The sequence below is a fragment of the Homo sapiens genome, chromosome 6, assembly GCF_000001405.40.
Source record: "Homo sapiens chromosome 6, GRCh38.p14 Primary Assembly".
Taxonomy (NCBI): Eukaryota; Metazoa; Chordata; class Mammalia; order Primates; family Hominidae; genus Homo; species Homo sapiens.
The window spans coordinates 164,084,298-164,100,210 of record NC_000006.12 but is presented as its reverse complement, the minus strand read 5'-3'; the positions used below and the strand labels follow the sequence as shown (position 1 = coordinate 164,100,210).

The 15,913-nt window shown below is 40.7% G+C and overlaps 1 long non-coding RNA gene across 1 annotated transcript; it reads right to left on the bottom strand.

Moving 5' to 3' along the window:
* Nucleotides 1–13,211: 13,211 nt before the first annotated feature.
* LOC105378106 (uncharacterized) lies at nucleotides 13,212–14,212 on the bottom strand. The gene is made up of 2 exons (XR_943218.4): nucleotides 13,891–14,212; nucleotides 13,212–13,398 (listed from the first exon to the last, which is right to left on the bottom strand). It is a non-coding gene; the product is annotated as an uncharacterized LOC105378106 (long non-coding RNA).
* Nucleotides 14,213–15,913: the final 1,701 nt, after the last annotated feature.

Here is a 15,913-nt window from a genome sequence, read left to right as displayed (position 1 = left end):
TAGAAATGTAAGTATATTAGAGATAAAAATATGTACGCAGCATGCTTAGATAGCAATGAAGGAATATAGAAAAAGAGAGTTTCAAAAGTTACAAAAAATTATGCAGTTTGTTCATATGATCCCACACTCCCTGAAATAAGGTTAATCAAGTTTCCCAATTTTGATTTCCTCTCTAAATTGATGACTTCCCTTGAGATTTTCACGAATTATTTTAAAGCCAAGGTGTAGCCTAGTAGAAATTAATTATTTATCCCCAAGAGACAATAGAGCACATGGCATTACAAATAAGTTCTGTTGCTGAAGAAAACTTAAGAGATTAACTGGGAATGAATGAGAGACACAAAATACTGCTTCTCAGCAACGTGCCCCGTGTTCGCCCAGGGGCTCCGGGCACACCGCGCAGACTCCCCAGAGTATCTGGACCAGCACCGCCTGCTGCCCTGCGGCGAGATCTGCCCCAGCGAGTCAAGAGCGAGCCTGTTCTTTTCACTCTAACGGTTTCGCATCTGCTCTGGCCAAAATGTTTTTTCTGCCTTTCTTTCATCTGCACTGTGTTGCCTAGCTTTCCCGCAGAGGCCCCAGTGTCACTCTGAGAACGATCACTCTCTCATTGTGTTTTGTGTTCCTTTTACCCATGGGCAGCTTTCTTTTTACACTCAGTGTCCCTATGAATGGAGCGTTTTGCAGCACCTGGAAGCCTCACTCAGAGAGTCGGCCTCTGCGTTCACACAGTCCAGGGGTGGGGGATGACTGACGCAGATCACCCCGATGAGCCTCAAGTTGGCTTTTTATGTCTGGCTGTTATTCAGAGCTTTAAAAATGGGGAAGGGGAAATGAGAGGGAAAGAGGAAGAACAAAACAAAAATGACAGGAAAATGGCAGAACTTCCATTCGTCATTACCGTTATTTAGCATGAAATGTCAACCAAGTCTGAAGGGCTTTTGGGTGCATGAATAAACAGGCCAGCAAGTAGTTATTTTTATTCTATATGTACATCTTGTGCTCCACACTCAACAGTGACGTCAGCCTTCTTGCTTCACATCAGCTGTCCTTGCTCACGGTGTTCTCAAGGGTGTGAACTCGGCTGAAGATAAGGGTTTGTGACTGCCGTTCCTGTCATGCTGAGCTCGCTTACAGCATGTCCCCTGGCTCAGCAGCTCCACATAGGACCGATGCAGCTCGCAGCTACATTTTCAAGTGTGTTGATGCACATTCCCTTGGGTGTGGACTTTGGATTAGTGTCATTGTCACAGGCGCTAGACAAACACAACATCCATCCTCGTGCTAAGCTGTTTGTCTTGTTTTGCACTCCTTTGAGGAGTTTCCAGGCTCTGTCTACACAGTGCCAAATATCTAGATCAGAGTTGAAAAATGTAATTTAAAACCCCAGTGTTTGTGTTGCATGGAAAAAGCCCAGAGTTTTTTATATTTGGATAAATTAGAGAGAGAGAAAACCTTTGCCCTCAATTCTATCAGAATGGTATACTTGAAGTTGCTGAAAATATGCTGAGTTGAATCAAACGGTTATTGATACGATCCATTGCACTCCCCAGTATAATGTGTAGATCAATAACTCAACACAGATTCTGTTCTTCATGGTCTTCTCTATAGTGTTGCTTCAAATAGCATGACCTTTTATATTCTCAGGATAAATTTTCTATAAACTTAAAGCATCACCATTTCCTATAGACAAAGTAGGGTAATTAATAATTATTATTCTGAATGATAAGCATTTTGCTGATGTGCCAGCCACCGAGCTGAGCTTTTAAGGAGTTCGTTCACTTAATCCCTTCAATGAGCATATGGTATCTCCGTTAAATATATGAGGCATCTGAGACTCAGAAAGTTCAAATAACTTGTCCAAAGTCACTCAGCTGAATTATCAAAGCATGACTCACACACAGCCTATATTCTTACATCATACTGCCTTCTGGAAAAGTTGGACTCACTTTAGTCCAAGTAGTCCTGGTTCTATTTTATGATCATTAAAGCTGTGTGCGTTTGCAACCCCCAGTCCCACCTCCCCGTGTGTGGTGTGTGTGAGTATGTGATGGATAATTATTGTTTGGTTAGGCTCATTTCCTTTTGTTTAATTTCCAACTGCTATGCGTAATAGCATTTCCTTATTCTAGAGGGAAGCAGAAACTCGGAAAGAACGCGAGGACAGCTCATTTGCAGTGCTTCCTGTTGAGGGAGCAGGAAGTGTGCAGGAGTTGTGAGGAAGTCTGCCAGAAAGAGATTCCTAGAGTTGAAAGTGGGGAACCATCAGGCCCAGCGTGGGGTCCAAAGCTGAGCTTAGAAGCCCATAGGAAATAGATGCCTAAACTTCCAAGTTTCCCTTCCTACAATTCTATCAACAGAGACTCTGCAAATATGTGACAGGCTGAATTCTAGAAGAACCTGTGCTTATAAAAGCCTCAGAGCCTAACCATACCATGCAACAGCACAAGGCCAGCCCAGAGGCCTGCAGGTACAGAGAAACCAGCAGAAGGGGGCAAGAGTGAGTCAAAGGAACTCACCACGGTTTCTAGACTCCCGGAGTGTCGCCCATGGAGACTTTTCTCTTTACAGTAAAGTAATTGAGAACAAGGGACCAGATGTCAGTTTGATTAGAGAAAGAGAGGTAGGGCAGAATGATATAGGACATTATCCAAGTAAAGTAGAAAATAAAAGTTTATGCAGGATATGAAACAGCAAGAGATCTATAAAGGAAGCTAAAATCCAACTTGCAGGAATTTGTGTTAGTGAGTGAACAGTAAGTGTCAGTTATTTGAAGATCATCCTCGTGAATGCCTGCCTAATGAATACAGGGCTGGAAGACATTCCCTCAGGGCCTCCTTGACTAGAACGTAACTGGAGGTTTCCATACTGACCAGCACGGACCAACTCAGAGTAGAGCAGACCAGGACCCACCATGCTAGAGCGTTCATCAGTGACCCCTTTCTCCTATGCATCTGCCCTGCTTTGCTTGTGTTCATTTGCATATCCACACACACAACAAATATTCATTGACCACCAGCTCTGTGCCAGGCACTGAGGTTGATGAGGATGTGTTGGTGGATAAAACACATGGCTTCTGGAGCTGACCATCCTGCAGAAGGATTTCAGCCCACTTTCTAAAATCTAAAACAAGAAAACAAAACAGCAGCAACAGGCCGGGCGCGGTGGCTCATGCCTGTAATCCCAGCACTTTGGGAGGCTGAGGCGGGCGGATTAGGAGGTCAGGAGATCGAGACCATCCTGGCTAACATGGTGAAACCCCGACTCTGCTAAAAATACAAAAAATTAGCCGGGCGTGGTGGTGGGCGCCTGCAGTCCCAGCTACTCGGGAAGCTGAGGCAGGAGAATGGCATGAACCCAAGAGGCAGAGCTTGCAGTGAGCCACGATCATACCACTGCACTCTAGCCTGGGTGACAGAGCGAGACTCCGTCTCAAGAAAAAAAAAAAAAAAGGAGAAAGTTGGAGAATGCTATGTGAGCCTGAAGACAGTCATCTGCAAGCCAGAGAGAGGGGCCTGGAGCCAGTCCTTCTTCACAACCCTGCTGACACCTTGATTTCTTCAGTTCTAGCCTCCATGACTGTGAAAAAAAAAAACAAAAAAACAAAAAAAAAAAACGCAACAACAGAAACTCCAGCCTCCCTGGATTCCAAAATCCCCTCTAATTAATATGATATTGCTTGGCTACTGATATGGTTTGGCTGTTTCCCCACACAAATCTCGTCTTGAATTGTAGTTCCTGTAATTCCCATATATCGTGGGAGGGACCAGGCGGAGACAATTAAAATATGGGGGCAGTTTCCCCATCCTGTTCTCATGATAGTGAGTCAGATCTCACAAGAGCTGATGGTTTTATAAGGGGCTTCCCCCTTTGCTGGGCACTCATTCTTCTCTTCCCTGCCACCATGTGAAGAAGGATGTGTTTGCTTCCCCTTCTACCATGATCATAAGTTTCCTGAGGCTTCCTCAGCTGGGCTAAACTGTGAGTCAATTAAACCTCTTTTCTTTATAAATTACCCCGTCTTGGGTATGTCTTTATTAGCAGCGTGAGAACAGACTAATACAGCTACCCTTCTCAAAAGTGTTGCTTTTGAGAAGGAACACTTCTCAAAAGAGTCATTTATGCTTTCTGGGTCCAGTTATTACCGTTTACCAACTTCCTGCCTCTCTGAACCTGACCCTCAGGATCTGCCTTTGTGACAAGATCACCCATGACAGCCAAGGCCTTCAAGTGATCCTTTCCAGGCCTGCACTTATTTGGTCCCTCTAGAACATTTTGCACTGTTGCCCACTCTTTTATTCTTTGGATGCCTTCTTCCCTGGTTTTCCTGAACACCATGATCTCCTGGTTGTCCTCCTACTTTTTTCTCACCTTCATCAACAGGATTTGCTTTCACCATCTATTTATTTCTTTCTGGGGAGGAGGGAGAACATTTTTTTTTTTTGCTTTCCTGGAGGGTTTCATCTGAACCTTTTCTTTTCTTGCTTTTGGAGATGTATACACACTTTTGGCTTTAATTACTCTTTATTTGCTCATGGCTGCTATTTTTCTATGCAGAGCTTCAGCTCAGTATGTCTAAACGCCTACTAGAATTCCCCATTAGAAATACCACCAGCATCTCACACTTGGCAGGCTGAAAACCAAACTCATGATGTCCTCCACTCTGCTGTGTCCATCTCCCTGCATGGCATCATCACCCACCTATTTATCTCCTGGTGAGCCAGAGTCATCCTCAAGCCTTCCCCCTCCTTCACTCCCACATCCAATAAACTATCAAGCACTGTCTTTTCTACTTTTTGAATTATCTCTAAGATCTGCCACCTTTTCCAAGCCTGCAATCAGGAAGTGCATGGTACATAAAAGGCATGGAATTGATGTCTATTGAGTAATCTTATTTGATAAATGGATGAACACATGACTAAGATCAGACCCCAACAGGTCAGGAATTCCAGCTCAATGCACAATGAGGTCACACGGTCCTGCACCCTGAGGCCATGGCCAAGTGATTCAGTTCTGGTCTCCACATGGTCTTGGGCACAGACGAAACCACTTTCAGAACAGATGAGAGCATATTTTCTCATGTGCTGAAACTCTGCTGAGGCTCTGAATTTATCCTAACTTATGGACGATCACAAATTACAAATATTTTGAATCTACATTCATGTAAATTTAAGTCAATCAGAATAACGTATAGTTTTTCTCTATTCTTCATTTCATCCTTTTTCCATTCGATAAACCCACTTTGTAGAGCTTGCCTCCATCAACTGCCAACAACCAAATTTCCAGTTTATGACACTCTGAGTCTCTTCCTCAATTCTGTTCTTTCTTCTTCAAGGACTATCTGTTGGCCATTTTAGTACTAAGTCCACTATCATCTGAAATAGGCCAAGACCAAGAGATTAAATGTATATAAATTGTGTGTGTATGCACACACACATGCACACACGTATATATTCCAAGGCTGCTATTTTTGCAACCTCATAGTATCAGTAATTCTAGAGAAAGATTTTCCTGAGGAAGAAAGCAGAATTGAAAATGCTAAACTTTTTTTATGATTAGCATAGCTATTAGTAAGAACTCATAGAAGCTCAGTCAGTTTCTATGACTGAATTCAAAGGCAGAAAGATAAACAAAAGAGAAAATCAGCCAAGCTCTTTAAAAACAAAAAAGAAGACTAAAAAGATACGAAATCTTGAAAGCAGATGGAGAAAGTAAAAAAAAAAAACTGATAATAGGAGGCAAAACTCTAGACTATCCAAGAAGAAAAAAACATAGATAAAGCAGCAAAACAACAAAAGCTAGTATAATATTACCTTGTGGGTAAAACCAACCAATTTTAATAGCATTTTCTTGTTAATAATCCCTCCCACAAGAGACACAAAGCAAGATGTGCTTCTTGGTAGAGTTTGTAAATTTTACTGTTTTTTTTTTTTTTCCCATTCTACTCTGAAGAACTTTATTCCTTGCTGTTAAATAAGTGAACATAAATATGTTCATTTATATTGGTGTAAGGAGTCTCCAAGACAGATGTGATGATCTGCGTCAAATTTAAAAGAAAAATTAGCAGTAACAAAAAGGCCAGCATATTCTGAAAAATTTTGGTATATGTACTAATGTGGTCATGGGCATACATTGTATGAAGCATCATATATGTTAATGTATAAGCATGGCTGGGATTTCCAAATTAAAAATTATTTGGATCTCTCTGTTAGGTAAGTGCTCCAATTTAGAAAAAGAAATTCTGCAGAAAACGCTATGGATAGAGTGGAATTTGACCTTGGGTCTGACGATACTGTGGATGGAGCATCAGCCACCTGTCCATTCTGTGCTGTTGACCACATGCCATGAACACCCATGTGCCATTTCACACACACACACACACACACACACACACACACACCAGTAAAAGCCTCAAAATGTGATGGGCTAGAGTGGGCATTGAAAGATAAGTGATGAGGGAAAAAGAAAAAGGATTCCCCCTTGGTGTGGTCATTATTCACTGGTCTTTCTATTTTTATGAGAGGGAAATGAATCAGTTACTACTTCAATCTGAAGGGATTTCAAAGTTTAACCCTTCTTTAGTTTCACACATTGGCCGTCTTCACTGAAATTCAATAGGGAGTGTGGAGAGCTATGTATTCACAGTTCCTCATTCACCTGGATTTCTGAAGTTGATTTAACTGTTAAAGAATCACTTCTTGATTAGTTTGCAGTTATCCTGAAAGTATGTCTCTTAAAGCATGGTCATGTTAATTCTGTCTTTTGTCCTGCTCTAGAGTTGTAGCCTTGCACCAAATGTAAAGAAGGTGTTTGTCTTGGTTGAAACTTCTCCACTGTTCAGGATCATAAGTGATCCTGAAAAGAGACACTTGGTTGTCTTTTTTTTTTACACTGCAATGACATTCCAGGTAGATGGAGACATAAAGCTTTGGTTACTATTAAATTTTCAGGAACAGATAATCCTTCCCAACATTTTAGAAAAGAGTGAACAAGAAATTTCATCTCTAAAAGTCTAAGATTCTAAAAACATATCAGCAAATCAAGCCTTTCAATTCAAAAGTGAATCAGCATCAGTAAAATTGATGAAATCAATGTACTTCTCAAGGCAGCAGGTAGAGTTCTACAGAGCTGCTCTGCTCCTAAGATGTAGACTATAATGAATTAATACTTCTGCTGGATTCTTTGGTAGCAAGGCCATCATACAGTAGGTGATAGATCAATAGATAGATATAGATAGATAGATAATATATACTTTCTTCATATCATACATAATATTACAGAATAAACATATTATTGATTTTTTCACTGTAACAAGCATGGTTTAACATCAATCCAATTACTTATTTGGTCAATCCCATAATAGATCTAAAACAGTTTTAGAATTGATTTGCCTATACCACCACAAAAAGTAAACTATTGAAAAGAGTTTAGGTATATAGTCAACATTTTATTCATAAGTTACTTGACTATCTTCTCCCCAACCATTGTGTTATTCGTCTTAAAAGCAGTTGCATTAATTTGCTTCCGTTTCAATTCTATTTCCTCATTATTCTTGTTTCCATTTTAATTTTTTGAATACGAAGAATATTAACATACCTTCAAATCTCAACTATACAAAAAGGTAGTCTCTTCCTGTATCTCTTCAGCCCTACTTGTCCCTCTCAATATAGGTAACAAACTTCATTGTTCTCCGGCTTACCCGTGACATTTTAATGCTCGCACAGATCATCAGATTGATGTCACTTATTATCTCTTCTTTCTTACACTTTGTGTTTTCACTAACAAAACAAAAGGAAATAATCCCTTCTCCATTCTTAGAGGTCTATCATTTTTTCCCAGTTCACATCACTCCATTGTGTAGATATAGCATAGTTTATAAAATCCATCTCTTATGTACGGTACCTCCCCTTATCCTCAGGGGATTCATTTCAAGACTCCCAGTGGATGCCTGAAACCGTGGATAGTACCCGATTATATACACACTATGTTTTTTCCTATACATGCATACCTATGACAAACTTTAGTTTATAAATTAAGCACAAGAAGAGATTAACAATAATTATAAAACAGAACAATTATAACAATTAACAATTTCCTGGATAGAAGATTCGTTCTAGTCTGAATTGGCAAGCATCACTACTCTTGCGCTTTGGGACCATTATTAAGTAAAATAGGGGTTACTAGAACACAAGCACTGAGACACCACGACAGTCGGTCTGATAATAGAGATGGCTACTAAGTGGCTAGCAGGTAGCTTAAACAGTGTGCAGACGCTGGACAAAGGGATAATTCACCTGCCGGGTAGGACGAAGCAGGAGAGTGCATGATTTCATCAGCAACTCAAAATGGAGCACAAATAAAACGTAAGGATTATTTCTGGAATTTTCCATTTAATATCTTTGGATCACTATTGACCATGGATAACTGAAAATGCAGACAATGAAACCATCCATAAGAAGGGAGTACTGTATAGACATTTAGGTAGTTGCTAAATTTTATAATGTGAATATGGCTGCAGTGAATAATCATATGCCTTCTTTTTGTATTATTTGAAATATATTTTCAGAGTAAATTTCTGGAAGTGTGATTTCTGGGTTGAAGAACAAATGCATATGTAGTTGTTTTTAGAACTGCCAAATTCCCCTCCATAGGAATTGTATTAGATCGATGCAAAAGTAATTGTGGTTTTCGCCATTAAACGTAATGACAATAGGCAGGCGTGGTGGCGGGCACCTGTAGTCCCAGCTACTCGGGAGGCTGAGGCAGGAGAATGGCGTGAACCCGGAAGGCGGAGCTTGCAGTGAGCCCAGATCGCGCCACTGCACTCCAGCCTGGGCGACGGAGCGAGACTCCGTCTCAAAAAAAAAAAAAAAAAAAAAAAAAAAAAAAAAAAAGTAATGGCAAAACTGCAATTACTGTTTTACGTTAAAAGTAAAGGCAAAACCCGCAATTACTTTTGCACCAACCATTTTAAATTCCAGCTAGCAGTGCATGTTACCAGACAGTTTTGTCAGCAGCGTGAATTGTCAAGCTTCCATATTTTCTCCCAACGGATGGGTGAGAAATGGTCCTTCTGTAGTTTTTGTTGTTGGCGGTGGTGGTGGTGGTGGTTTTTGAGACGGGGTCTCGCTCTGTGGCCCAGGCTGGGGTGCAGTGGTGCGATCTCGGCTCACCGCAAGCTCCGCCTCCCGGGTTCACGCCATTCTCCTGCCTCAGCCTCCCGAGTAGCTGGGACTACAGACGCCCGCCACCACGCCCGGCTAATTTTTTTTTGTATTTTAGTAGAGACGGGGTTTCACCATGTAAGCCAGGATGGTCTCGATCTCCTGACCTCGTGATCCACCCGCCTCGGCCTCCCAAAGTGCTGGGATTACACGCGTGAGCCACCTGGCCTGACCCTTCTGTACAGTTTTAAGCTGCATTTCTCCTATTATGAGCGAAGTTAAACCTCTTTAACATGGAAGTGCCATTTTAATATCTATTCTGTGGATTTTCTATTCATGAATGACTTGTTCCACTTTTCTATAAGACTTTTTGTCCTTTTTCCCCAATATACCCAAGTTCTTTGTATAATAGGTACATAGCCCTCATCTGTGCTCTTTCCCAGTTCGTCATTTGCCTGTTGACCTAGTATATGGTGCTTTTTTCCATGCAAATAGTTTGTTTTAATGTAAGCAAACATCAATCTTTTCATTTATGACACCTGGATTTTGAATTGTTAGAAATCCTTTCTTACATGAAGGATAGAAATGAATCTAATTTCATCTTTTCTCAATAACTGTCCAGTTACTCTGATATCACTTATTTTATTTCTGTGAAAGTCCATTTTTGCCCCAGTGATTGGATATGTGCCTCCATATTACACTCATACGCACCATTTGTTCTACGCCATTTGCTCGTCCTTTTGGAAATATGTCCATGCTGCTTTAATTATAGAAGGTTTAGAGTATCTCTTATTTTAATTTCCAACTTTTAGGCTCAGGGGGCATGTGCACAAGCGTGTTACAGAGTTAAATTGCATGTTTAGTGTACAGATTATTTCAGCACCCAGGTAATGAGCCACGGTACCCAATAGGGAATTTCTCAATTCTCACACTCCTTCCACCTTATAGTCTTAACACACACTACCTCTTCCTTTTCAAGGTTTTTTTGTGAACTTGAGTATCAACTTGTTTCGCTTCGTGAGTGTGTGGGTGTGTGTGTAACTGAGAATGCATAATATTTGGAAATTAACATGGGAAGGATTGTTATGTTTATAATACTGAAACATCATCGTCTCCTATTGGGGCTTTCTGGGATGTTTTATGGTTTTCCTGAGATAGGTTTTAAGTAATACTTTTATACTTCTATGTAGTTTATCCTTTATTACTATTGTAATTGTGACTTTATTATTTATCTTTTAGTTGGTTATTTATGTATATAAAGGCTATTGATTATTGCATGTTAATTTTATATTCTGCTAATTGCTTAATGTTTTCACTTAAGTTTGTTTTATCATTAATTCTCTGGGATTCTCCAGGTATACTATCATGTCACTTGAAAAAGATAGTTTATTTATTTTCACCAATTATTTTGCCTTCGATTCTGTAATCTAGTTACATGATGATAATAGGAATCCTTGCCTTGTTTCTAACCTTAACTGGAATATTTCTAGTGTTTCCTAATTGGAATGATTCTGGAATTAGGATTGGGAGAGAGATATATATAAAAAATATTACATAAAATATATGTATATATAGGAATATATATGTGCATATCTCAATCCTAATTTCAGAATCTTAATAATTTCTTTCTTTCTTAATCTTTTATGAAAATAATACATTTTGTCATATTAGGGATTTGCATTTTGACTTTTTTCTAGAGATTCTATTATAAATGAAGTTAAATTTTGTCAAAGGCTATTTTTTGCATATCTGGAGATAGTTATATCATTTTTCTCCTTAGATTTCATTGTGTGGTAAAATATACTAATAAGATTTCCTAATATTGAACTGTTTTTGAATTCTGATATAAAATTACTCATGGTCATGGTGAATTATTTTGCAGTTTTAAATCAGTATGAATAGTGAAATTGATCTCTAACTTCCTTTGTTGTGCTGTTTTTATTAAGCTCAGCTATCAATGTCATCCATTCTTCATAAAAGGAACTGGAAAGTTCCTCTTCATTTTCTATATTTTAAAACAAGGTATGTAGTGGGGCCAGTGAGTCTCTAAAGGTGTCGAAGCACTCCCCTCTGAAACTGTTTGGTATGGTGTTTTATTAAAGAGCAGTGCTTAATATATTTTTCTATGTCTTCTATGGAAATTGATCAAGCTTTCAGTTTACTAAGGTGAATTTTGGTAAACTATATTTTATTAATACATTACCCACTTCACAGCTTGCAGTATAGCTCAGAGGTAAAACATTTGACTGCAGAAATTACCCACTTCATCAGTCTTTATAAATGTATTGGCATAAAAGTAGTCTAAAATTTTTAAAGGTTTTTTTTTCCTGAGTGGATAGTCATTTTACTCCTTGTTATATTTTATTTTTTAAAGTTTTGCCCCCTTTTTTTTATTAAATTACCTAGAGTTTTTTGTTCATTATTATTTCAAAAGTTATTTAATGCAGTCTTTTTCTGTTTTTATCACATTTCTCTATTATTATTATTAAATCTTTTGTTTTTCTTTGTTGTTTTCTTTCTTTTTTTTTACTTAGGATTGCAAGTCTTTTTTCTCATTCTTTTATTTTTATTGACATGGATGCTAGGGCATAAATTTTCTATTATTGCTGCTTTAAATGTAACTCAGATTTTTTAATACAGTGTTTTATTTTTTTATTTCTTGAATTATAATTTTAAATATTAGCTCTACCACGTTGTTTTTTTTTTCTTCAGAGATTTCAATCATACACACACACACACACATGCACACTCATACACATATTGTATTAGGGTTCTCCAGAGAAAAGATAAACAATAGGATACATGAAAATTTGTTTGAAGGAAGTAGATTGCACGATTGTGACGCTGGCATGAGAAAAATGTGCAAAGCAGACCAACTGCCGGGAACTCACCAAGAGTTGATGCTGCAAACTTGAGGCACAATTTATTCTTTTCTGGGAAACCTCAGGTTTTTCTCTTACTTCCTCAACTGATTAGGTGAGGCTCACCACCTTATCCAGAGTTACTTTCTTTACTTTAAAGTCAATTGATTATAGATGTTAACCTACATCTACAAAACACCTTCACAGCAAAACCTGGGTTAGTGTTTAAGTGACTGGTTTCTACAGCCTCACCAAGTTGAAACATAAAAGTAACCAGCACAAATGTTGCATCTTTCTTCTCCAACATTTCAACCATTTTCTCTTTCACTCTTTTTATCCATCTTCTTTATATCTTTATGTTATCCTCTTGATTGTGTTTCTTAATTTTTCCATGACCCTTATTAAGCTTTTATTTGAGTCTATTCTTCTTTGGTCATCTTTGGTAATTTAGCCTTCATTTCCTTTAAGATTCTAACATTTTACTCTCTTTTCTGTCCTTGCATTTCCTTAACTCTTGTTTTATTTTTTTGTTCTGTTTCCTGCCTCTATTTTTATTTTTAAATTTTCGATCTAAAGTATTTCCTTATCTTCAAATTCTTTTTTGTGTCTATTTAATTCAGTTTTGATACTTCTGTGACAATTTTCTTCTGTTTCATGCTTGATTTTTTTTTCACAGCTTCTATCTGTTGGTTCACATTTTCTATTTTCTTATTACAGTTTCCTGTGAATGTGGTCCACATTTTCTCTTCCTGTTCATTTCATGGGTGTGATTTCTAACATGAGAGTGCACTTTTTGGTACATCTGTCTTCTTTGGTTTGGTTTCCTTGGTGGATGGTGGTAGTGATGATGGAGGGAAAGAGATGGTTTGCTGGGTCTGCTATGCTGTCATCTCTCATCTCTGTAGGTCCCCCTCGGTTCCTCCCTTCTCCTTCGTGACATGTCCCTGGTGGTTTCCATTCCTTCTTTGTGCATCTTCTCCAGGAGAAGCCCACCTCTGGGGCTGCCTCTTCCTGCCTGACTCATGTTCAAAGTCCCTTCCAGGTGGCTGTTGCTCTGAACTACCAAGGCCTGAGCCATCCATCACCAGTCCTTCAGCATCCAGGAATGGATTTTTCTTTTTGAGGCCAGATGGTCTTTGCCTCATCTAAGGCACCCTCATCCTGTGTTTTTGTTTGTTTTTTTTTCCACAAAGTCACATAAACCTTGCGGACCCCTTGCCCAGAAGCTCCCAGTGGTGGTGACAGGGGCTTAGCTGAAATTTGGTCTCCTTCTCTGTGTTGAAGTAATCTTGCAGATTGTGGTGTCCTCTGTCATCTTGTGAACTGCACGTGTGGCTCACAGGTGGTTTCACTGGTTTATTTTCGTGGGAAGGCTGTGCAGGCAGATGAGAATCAGGCCCGCGCCATCCTCCCCCACACCCACGAGATTCCCCAATCCCTTTTTACTCATTTTTTTCTACTTCTCCCTCAACAAGAAGCCACGGTCATGAGAAACCTGAACGGGGACTTGAGTAACTGAGGATGCGGCGCTCTGCTGCAGAGGCAACAGGGCACCATGAACACTAGCCGGGTACATCCAAAATGGAAAAATATGACTATCTCTCAGGGTTGTCGTGCAGATTAACTGAAACAATAATCATGAAAGCACGTGGCACACAGTGACTTCTTAAGCCACCTGTCATCTCTGTAACCAGGCCCTAGAAATTGTCCTTCCGGGGTTGCTCAGGGGGTCAGTGACCCAGCCCCCCTTCACAGGAACTTGTTGGGGTGTGTCCTTAGAACCCACAAGGCAGGAAGTGAGCAAATTCTTAGTTTTCCCTTAGCTAAGAACGATCATGTAAAGAAGGTATTGGGGTCTCTGATACCTGGATACAGAATCACTTAATAATACACATCGGCTTTGCCCACAAACGGGGGAGCAAAGAGGAACCTCATAGCCTCACACTAATTCTGAGCACGTGATCAGCCTCGGCTGCCGGTTCGTCTGCTGAGGAGGAGGAGGAGGAGGAGGAGCAGCGTCTGAAACACGGGAAATGTCCGAAGCCATCTTTCCGCTCCAGCCACTTATGGGTCAGAGTGAAATCTTTCTCTTCTCTCCTCTACGTCAGTTTAGAGTCTCCTATTAAACAGAAAACATGTCGAGCTCATAGGAACACCGCTTTCTTTCCTCCTTCCTCTGAATTTTCTTCACCATCTTCCCCGACACAGGCACCCTCACCCCTGGCCCCCTGCCCACGTCACTCCTCAGTGCTGGCCTCCGGTTGTCAATAGCAGCAGCGACTGTGTCTTCATGAAGAAAGATGGATAAAATATTACCATAACCTCAGAGGCATGAGCAAAGCCCTTATTAGAATTCGGGACCTACAGCTGGAACTTCCAGCATGGGGCGGGAGATAAAGTTCACTATTGTTAGCTCACAAGTGGCTCCGACTTCCTGGCAACTGCAGTGAATTACTCAGTCATTTATGCAGGCCTTCAGAAACAGTCCACTGTTTCCCAACAAAAAAGGCATTCAGGAAGGGAGCGAAGGCTCCGCGGCCCTGGAGAGCCGGCTTTAGGGCAGCCACTGGCCGGGCGGTCTCCCAAGTCAATGGCCTCTGTGGGAAAGGCAGTGATGTCACCTCGAATGTATTTTCGGGGCTTTGCCCTGCTTTCTCCTGATCTCTCCCTCTCAGGCTGTTTCCCTGTTTTATTTTTCTCCTCTTTCTTTCTCTCCTTCCAGCTTCTTTGAGGGCATTATGACTTTTTTCCAAGTTTAGAGCTCAAATCCACTGAAGGCCCGCACGCAGCCCCATGACTGCCATGGCAACGCCGGGCCTGGTACACTTTTTTTTTTTTTTTGCATAAAAAGTAGAGAAAGATTGAAAAGAGGGACAAGAATGAAAGGGGGAACGGAGCCAGTTTGGCCTGCGCGGGGCTGGTGTCTGCTGGGCAAGGACAGAAGCACACGGGGAACGGGACTCGTGAGGCCGGAGGAGCCAGCGGAGGGGCCTTTGAGAAACAAATTTGTGATCCTTCACGGTCAAAGCTTCCGAAAAAGCTCTGCGCTTCTGACGGATGACAAGAGAGGGAGGGCAACAAAGTTCTCACAAGAAATAAGGTCTCGCTTTTGAACATGTACCCAATTGCATAGTTTAGAGGAAGCTTTCAAAAATCTGTCTAGCCTCTCAAAAAGAAAGACAAAAAGAAGAAGAAGAAGAAAGGAGCGAAAAGTCTCAAAAGGACTTTTGACCTGTGTAGAAAGAGAGCAGAAAACACGCTGACACATTTCCTGGAATACCCAAGGTCCTTGAGCTCCCTATTGTTAAACGGCCTCAGTGGAAACTCGAAGGTGTCAGCTGTGTCAAATCAACTCAAAATAATCGATGACAAACAGAAAGAGACATTCATTACTGTACCTTCTTCCCCTAGAGAATATAACATTACCTTGAACTCCTGAAAGAAAATGAATGTCATGTCTCCGATATGTTTTGTGTCCATTCTATCAAAAAGCAGATTGCAAACAGTCTGAGAAAGCAGCTCCTGAAAAATCCAGACAACTGCCCCCATGAAAGCCGGGGCCAGCAGGTGAGGTGACTTGAGCGTGCAGGCATGGATCGCGGTCTCCTGCTGCCCAGGGCTCTTCCTGCTAGCATCAGCATCTGATGGATGAGAGCCCCATCTAGTTCCTGGGCCCTGGGTTACTGCCCTCTAATCCTGTCCTTGACCTCCTTCCCAAAAGTGTTATCAGCCATAGTCCAAGCTCCATGTTCTCCATGTGGTTACACACAAATGCACCAGGCCAAGAGTCCTTGAAAAACTTAGACACTAATCACAGAAGACACAGTCCTCAAGAAGGGAATGGCAATGTTATTTCTACCAGCAGCAATGGCTCAGGCCAAGGAGTTG